This window comes from Homo sapiens, chromosome 7 (genome assembly GCF_000001405.40).
Source record: "Homo sapiens chromosome 7, GRCh38.p14 Primary Assembly".
In the NCBI taxonomy this organism is placed as follows: Eukaryota; Metazoa; Chordata; class Mammalia; order Primates; family Hominidae; genus Homo; species Homo sapiens.
The window spans coordinates 386,336-394,148 of NC_000007.14; the positions used below are offsets into that span (position 1 = coordinate 386,336).

General features: G+C 56.5%; 1 annotated feature.

The window, feature by feature from the left end:
- Positions 5,050–5,591: an enhancer, noted in NCBI's record as "H3K27ac-H3K4me1 hESC enhancer chr7:431351-431892 (GRCh37/hg19 assembly coordinates)". NCBI's record gives its function as "activates a minimal SCP1, AML or CMV promoter by ChIP-STARR-seq in naive H9 embryonic stem cells {active_cell/tissue: H9 hESC(naive)}" and the evidence as "EXISTENCE:reporter gene assay evidence [ECO:0000049][PMID:30033119]".

Consider the following 7,813-nt stretch of genomic DNA (forward strand, 5'->3'; position numbering starts at 1 on the left):
TGTCTCAAAAAAACACAAAATGTCTGGGGCCTCCCCATTGTCTGTCTCCTGCTCTGGATCTGCCTTCAACCTTCCGCCAGGTTGGAGCTCCCTTAGGCTCTCACCAGAAGCGGATGCCAGCGTCATCTTTCCCGTGCAGCCTGCAGAAACATTAGCCAAATAAACCTCTTATAAACCACCCAGCCTCAGGCAGTCCTTTCTAGCAACACGAGAATGGCCTCACACAACACACAAATGAGAGACTCAAACAGTGCAAGGTTCTGGTCGTGGGGCAGCGCTACAGACGCCACGGGAGGCTGAGGGAATCAGGAGTGCCCCCTTCACCCTTTTTCTATTCTTTCTTACGGCTGAATATGGGTCTACAATGATCCCAAAAGTTGAAAAATGTATTTCAAAAAAGGGCCCAGAAAAGCCTAAAATCCCAGCCCACTGATGTCGGTTGTGCTCTTTCTGTGATGTGACTTTGTTTTTGTTTTTGTTTTTGTTTGTTTGGTTTTTTTCTTTTTTGAGACAAAGTCTCACTCTGTTGCCCAGTCTGGATGGAGTGCAGTGGTGCGATCTCACCTCACTGCAACCTCCGCCTCCCGGGTTCAAGCAATTCTCCTGCCTCAGCCTCCCGAGTAGTTGGGGTTACAGGCACGCACCACCACACCTGGTTAATTTTTGTATTTTTAGTAGAGATGGGGTTTCACCATGTTGGTCAGGCTGGTCTCGAACTCCTGACCTCAAATGATCCACACACCTTGGCCTCCCAAAGTGCTGGGATTACAGGCGTCAGCCACCGCACCCGACTTGTGACGTGACTTTGATGCGTGTGCAGGTGGGAGACAGCATCATAAATGCTGCTGGTTTGAAAAACCACGGCCAAGTACAGGATGCGGCGTTAGAGTGGGCTGGGGCGACGGGACCGTGAGCGGCAGAGGCCAGCGCCCAGCAGGGTCGGCAGCCAGGCCCGGGGGCTCCTCGAATGCCTCCAAACAGGCCCCCTCTCTGTTGGGTCCTGCACCACTGAGGGTTTCAGCTCCAAAGGTGGACAGTGGTGCAAGTACGCAGGACTGCTCTTGGGGTCAGAAATAATCCCAAACAGCAGCAAATCTTAATAAAGGGGAAAATCCAGAGACAAGCAGCAGAAACAGCTCTGGGCCCTGCTGTGTCCAGGTGCCCTCCCCGGCCCTTGGCCACCTCTGTCTATCCTCCACGACCCCAGGCGAGAATGCAATCCCCAGTTCACAGATAGGGAAACTGAGGCGCAGGAAGGGCACGGGGCCGCCCGCGGTTCAGCACCTAATGGGGCTCCGTCCAGAATTCTGCCCAAGTTTTCCTCCGTTTCCCTGGTCCTGAGCCCTGGGGAAAGTTGTGTCATTTTTCCTGTATTTCTTAATGCAATTTCGGCTCCTGGTGAAATTGTTGCGGCTGTGCTGGACCCGGACGTCCCTCCTGACAGCTCCGAGCCGTGGATGGGGACAGATGGCTGAACTGCTGGGAACCTAGGCTGGGAGGCAGCCCCCTACCTTCAAGGGCACCCCTGGTTTGGGGTAGACAGACAGTCGGCTCAGCTCCCAGCAGGGACCGGCCACTTGTGGGAACATGGAAGACCCAGGGTGGCCACATCAGAGGGCTGCGGCGGTCTCTTGGCCTCACCCTGACCTGGGCTGGCCGTTCACTTCCAAAACACCCTGGCTGGGTTTGAATGGTACGTGGGATGTTCTGTTTCCCAGAAACCAGCAAGATGTGAAGCAAGATGGCAGAATGTCAAGGTTTGGCCGAGCTGCAGGGTGGGTGGAGGGGCCTCCACCATGTTCATCCTAGGTATGCGGGATCCTCTCATTCACCACATGTGGGGCCTCCTGGTTCCAGCTGCCCTGAAATGGCCTCTCCAGCCACCGACTTCCTTTCCTGTGTGTCTGGACGCCCTGGGCAGGGAGCCGTTGCTAAACGTCCCTCGGCCTCCAGATCTGAGCCTGTTGTGGAGATGGAGATTCCGGGAGGAAGAGGGAAGGCTCATCCCCTCCCCGTCCACCTTCCTGCAAAGGAAGATTGGCTGGCAACAGGGTAAGGGAAAGAAAGCGGAGAGGGGCAGATTGGACCCACATAACGAGGACCGAGAAGGGGACAGAGCTGGCTCTGGCCACTGGGAGTGGAGGGGCAGGGCCCCGGCTCAACGCCCCGTGCGGGAGGAGGAGGAGGTTGGGGAGAAGCATCACCGGCCGCTGCTCTTCGCGGGAGAAGTGAGGGGATCCAGCTCACGAGGCAGTTGCTGGCGTTTGGGCTGTGAGCTCTGACCAGGCCCCATCCTGAGGCTGGACGACAGGGATACAGGAATCCCCAGGAACCCATGAACCTCAGCGCACGGCCCACAGAACACCACGTACTCCTCAGCGCCAGGCCTGCAGCCACAGGGAATCGCAGCAGCCCAGCCTATGCAGAGGCCATAGCAGGGCTGCCCCATCCTGCCCCATCGACCTTGCAGGCAGATGCCCCGCCTCCCTGTGAAGTGCTCTCCACCGCTCACTCCAGCCGGCTCCCGGGCAGGGAGCCAGGAGGGAGCCGGACACGGAGCGGCCCCGCTCTTCCACCCCCGGCCTGGCCTCTCAAATCCTGGCCTTTGGCTTCAGGACAGCGATGCTGCATCCACATCACCCAGAAGGTGAGGGCTGTGTCCGCCCAGGGAGCCGGGATCAGCTGCTGGGTCTGGAGATCTGAGAGGAAACGGAAATGGCCCCTTCCAAAACGCACCACGAGGGTAGAGCCTCCAGGCCTCTGGCATTGCCCTCGTCCGCACACCCCGTTTTCAAAGTAATCACCCCAGAGAGCAAGGCTGCAGCTGCCGCCCGGGCGAGGGTCCACTCTGGATTTCCAGTCAGAACAGGAGCCACTGCGGTAGCTGCTCTTTCGATCCCCCAGCCTGGGGATGTTTGTCGCGCGGCAGTAGCGACTGGAGTATCCCTGACTGGTGCTCCCTGCACGGCCAGTTCTCTGCCTGGGGCTGGGGCCTGTGCTCTTCTCTGAGGGGCTGACTCCTGAGCTGGTGAGTCTCGGGTGGTTCCCCTCCAGGAGCCCTCACGACCCTGCCCTAACCACTGGTCATGCACCAGCCCCTTCTTCATGCTCTAACATGCTCACTGGACACCTGCTACATGGGATCCCCGTCGGTGAGACTACCCTGTGGTTGAGATAGACAGGTCCCTGCATCCTGAAGGAGCCAGGTCCAGGAGTACATTGCGTGAAATCAAAGCGTGCAGTTAGCGAGGGGGCCCCAGGGTTAAAGCGTAAACCCAACTCCTCCCCAAGGCCCACCGGACTCTGCGAGACCCCGAGCCTGCCAACCTCTCCGACCCCAACCTCTCAACCCCGTGAAGAGCTTACCCCGCCCTCTGCCCTGAGTTCTGTTCAGGGGCATCTCTCTGGCTTTGCCGAAACTCACAGCACAGTCAGTGGTCATGTCTCAGAACGGTGAGAAGGGACAGAATTCCCTTGATACCCTGTCTTTTTCCGGAGCCACACTAGTGTGCTTGTCAGATGTGTGGGGCTTAGAATCCTTGCAGTGGGTCAGCCCCGCCCTGACATCGGCACTGTCTTAGCTCCTGCTTACATGGGGAGCTCACCTCGCCACGCAGCAGGAAGTGGGGCCCCCTGTGCTGCACCACCCCCCAGGCTTTGCAAGTTCTTCCTCACTGGAGCCCAGGGCTGGCTTCCTATGGACAGCAGCCGTGAGCCCCAAGCCTTCCCTCTGGCCTTCCCACAGCCGAGGGACAGGGGACCAGGCTCCGGCCCCACGGCCCCACCTGCCCCCAGATGTGCTGAGTGCTGGTGCCACCCAACCTGCAGTCCATTTGAGGGTCAGCGACCAAAGGTAGAAGAGAGCCTGGGGCTCATTCATTCGTTCAACAAACACCTGCTGAGATCTTTCCTCCGGGCACACGCAGGGCTGTGTTCTCAGGGAGAGACAGACCAGGAAGGGAGACACAAGGCGGAAGGCGTGAGGGCAGGAGGGTGGGAGGAAGGGGAATAGCGGGCAGATGGGAGGATGAAATCACAGCAGGGTGGGGCCAGGTGGCCAGGGAGGGCCTGGCCGGGAGGCAACAGTCTCCACATGTGCAAAGGCCTCAAGGCAGGGTCCACTGGGTGAGGCTGCAGCCGAGTGCAGGAGGTTGGGAGAGAGGCCAGAGGGTGGGCCCGGCCCAGCAAGGGGGTCCTCTCCTTCCGGCAGGCAGCGGCCCTCTGAGAAGGCGCCTCTGCCGGACTCTGGGAAGGCCCCCTCCCCGGCTCTCCTCCTCTCTCCCCGCTGCGGGACCCGTGTCTCAGGGCCTAAGCTAAAACACTTGTTTCCCTGGGGATTTGTCTAACTGCATGAGGCCTTTCTGAACCAGACTTTAGGGCGGAATTTTTTCCTCTCCAAAGAGAGGAATTGGCTGTCAGGAGTTAAAGACAGAATCTTGTGGCAAAGCCAAGCTCAGAGCCTGGGTCCAGGCTGGCCAAGGAGAGGGTGTGGAGGCCACCCAGACGCTGGCCTGGGGGCTGCAGGGGCTGGCGGTCCTGGCCAAGTGACTTTCACCGAGTGGCTGGGGCCGGGGTTGAGTTGGGACTCACCAGTGAGACCCACAGCTGTCCACACCCGTCCTGTGAGGGGGTAAGAGCTGGGGCCTCCAGGAGCTCCTGAGACATGCAGACCCCCTCCTGAGAGGGCTGGGGGGCTGCACGCAGCCTGGGCCTATTCGGAGGCCTTCCTTGGGGAGCGGGAGGGGGCTGCACGAAGGACGGTGACCCCGGAACCACCAGCAGCTCAGGGCCTGAAGGGTAGGGGCGGGCGGTCAGCACGGGGCCTGATGGGGAGGCCTGAGTGAGTGTCAGCCCAGGGGAGTCGTGAAAGGAGGTGAGTGTCGTGCAGCTGGTGTCCCTGCCCAGAGTGGGGTCCTGAGGTGCCCTGAGGGAAGTGGCTGGGGAACAGCTGACCAGAGCTGACCGTCCCCCAGCAGCCCTCAGCCCTAGGGGAGGGTACGGGCTCCTGGGGGCAGGCTCTGTTCCTGTCCCTGAGGGCTCCGCTCCACCTCCTGGCTCATCGAGGCTGGCTCCAGATGTGGGGTGTGTGGGCTCCACTCCCGGGCTCACCCAGGCCAGCTCTGGATGCTGAAGCCACCAGGCACGGGGCTGTGTGTGCAGAAGCAGCCAGGCAGGGCGGCCCAGCAGACGCAGGGAGCGGCCGCCAGCCGCTAGGATCCCGATGCCGCCGCAAGTAAGGACAGGCCCGGGTGCTGCCGCAGGAGGCCAGGCCTGCGCTCGCCGCTGTGGAATGTGTGTTTGTCTGATGAGCATCCCTGCAGGGCCCCAGATGGAGGGTGTGACAAGGATGGGGGCTGAGTCTCCAGGGCCCGGGGGCACCTGCACGCTGCCCCTGGCAGGGGCCCGGGCATCCCACCTGAGCTGGCAGCCCTGAGCCTGAGACCAGGGCTCTGACTCACTTCTGGGCCGCCCTCCTCACAGAGATCTGAGAGGGGCTTTCCCGGAGCCAGGCAGGGAGGCGGCCGTGCACCTGCGGGGGGACTGAGCCCCCCGGAGGGACGAGCTGCATGATGACAGGGAGGGACCCTGGCCTCGCCACCTGTGTGCCTGGGGCTCCCTTCCCAGGGCCTCTCTGCACCCCTCAGGCCCCCTGGGCTTGGCACCTGGGCCCCCAGAGCTCTGCCTAACCAGTGTTGGAAGAGGTTGGGTAAGTCCTGTGGGTGGGAATCCATAAGGGATCAGGCCCCATGACAGAGTCCACAGCGAGAACAGACGCTTCCAGCCAGCCAGGATCGGCCAAAGCCTAATCACGAGCCGACCTGAGCTCGCAGTGTGGACGTCCACCAGCTGCAGTGTTCAGATATGGGAAGGAGGGTGCAGCAGCCGCCGTGGACGCTTTCGCCCTGCAACAACAGAACACACATCAGCGGTGTGCAAACCGGGGCCCAAGGCCAGACAAGACGCAGGCCTACGTCACAACACAAGGTTCTGCCCGAACGCCGCGACGCCCACTGGTTGGAGTATCGTCTGGGGCTGCTGTCTCACCACAGGCGCGGAGTTGAGAGGTTGTGAAGGAGATTGATGGCCCAAAAGCACAAAATCTTTACTGTCTGGTCCCCCACAGAGAAAGTCAGCAAGCCCACGCACACATGATAGCAAAACGTGGCAAAATGATTAGGAAGTGGTGAGTTTTAAGGATTTATTACATTCTTAAAAACAACTTTAGGGTGGGTACGGTAATCCCAGCACTTTGGGAGGCTGAGGTCTAGAGTTCAAGACCAGCCTGGGCAACAAAGTGAGACCCTAACTCTGCAAAAAACGCAAAAATTAGGGGCCGTCGTGGCTCGTGCCTGTGGTCCCAGCTACTGAGGTGGCTGAGGTGGGTGGATCGCTTGAGCCCAGGAGGTGGAGGTTGCAGTGAGCTACGATTCCGCCCTGGGCCACAGAGCCAGAACCTATCTCAAAAGGAAAACAAAACAAAACAAAAAAACAAAAACAAAACTTTATAGTGGTATAATTATCATAAAATAAACTGCATTTTTAGGGTAAAATTGATACATTTGACATATAAATGAATTCCTTCGAAACCATCACAGCAAAATAACGAATATATCTACCGCCCCAGGCTAGTTTGCATTTCCTAGAATTCTGTACAATAGAATCATATCATATGACATCATAGTTTTTAGTTTGTTTTGAGGCAAGGTTTTGTTTCTAGTCACAGCTTTTGTCTTGAAGTCCATGTTGTTTGATGTCAATAAAAGCACCATGACTTTCTCACAGCCACTCTTGGCATGGTACATCTTTTTCCATCCTTTTTTACTTTCAATGTATTTGCACCTTTGGACCTAAAGTGTGTCTCCTGTGGACAGCATAGAGCTGGATCTTTTTCCTTTTAATCTGCTCAGACGATCTCTGCTTTTGATTGGATTGTTTAACCCGTTCACGTTTAGCGTTACTACTGATATGGTTGGATTTACGCCTGCCATTTTACTTTCTGTTTTCTTTCTTTTTTTTAAATTTATTTATTATACTTTAAGTTTTAGGGTACATGTGCACATTGTGCAGGTTAGATACATATGTATACATGTGCCATGCTGGTGCACTGCACCCACTAACTCGTCATCTAGCATTAGGTATATCTCCCAATGCTATCCCTCCCCCCTCCCCCCACCCCACAACAGTCCCCAGAGTGTGATATTCCCCTTCCTGTGTCCATGTGATCTCATTGTTCAATTCCCACCTATGAGTGAGAATATGCGGTGTTTGGTTTTTTGTTCTTGCGATAGTTTACTGAGAATGATGATTTCCAATTTCATCCATGTCCCTACAAAGGACATGAACTCATCATTTTTTATGGCTGCATAGTATTCCATGGTATATATGTGCCACATTTTCTTAATCCAGTCTATCATTGTTGGACATTTGGGTTGGTTCCAAGTCTTTGCTATTGTGAATAATGCCGCAATAAACATACGTGTGCATGTGTCTTTATAGCAGCATGATTTATAGTCTTTTGGGTACATACCCAGTAATGGGATGGCTGGGTCAAATGGTATTTCTAGTTCTAGATCCCTGAGGAATCGCCACACTGACTTCCACAATGGTTGAACTAGTTTACAGTCCCACCAACAGTGTAAAAGTGTTCCTATTTCTCCACATCCTCTCCAGCACCTGTTGTTTCCTGACTTTTTAATGATTGCCATTCTAACTGGTGTGAGATGGTATCTCATAGTGGTTTTGATTTGCATTTCTCTGATGGCCAGTGATGATGAGCATTTTTTCATGTGTTTTTTGGCTGCATAAATATCTT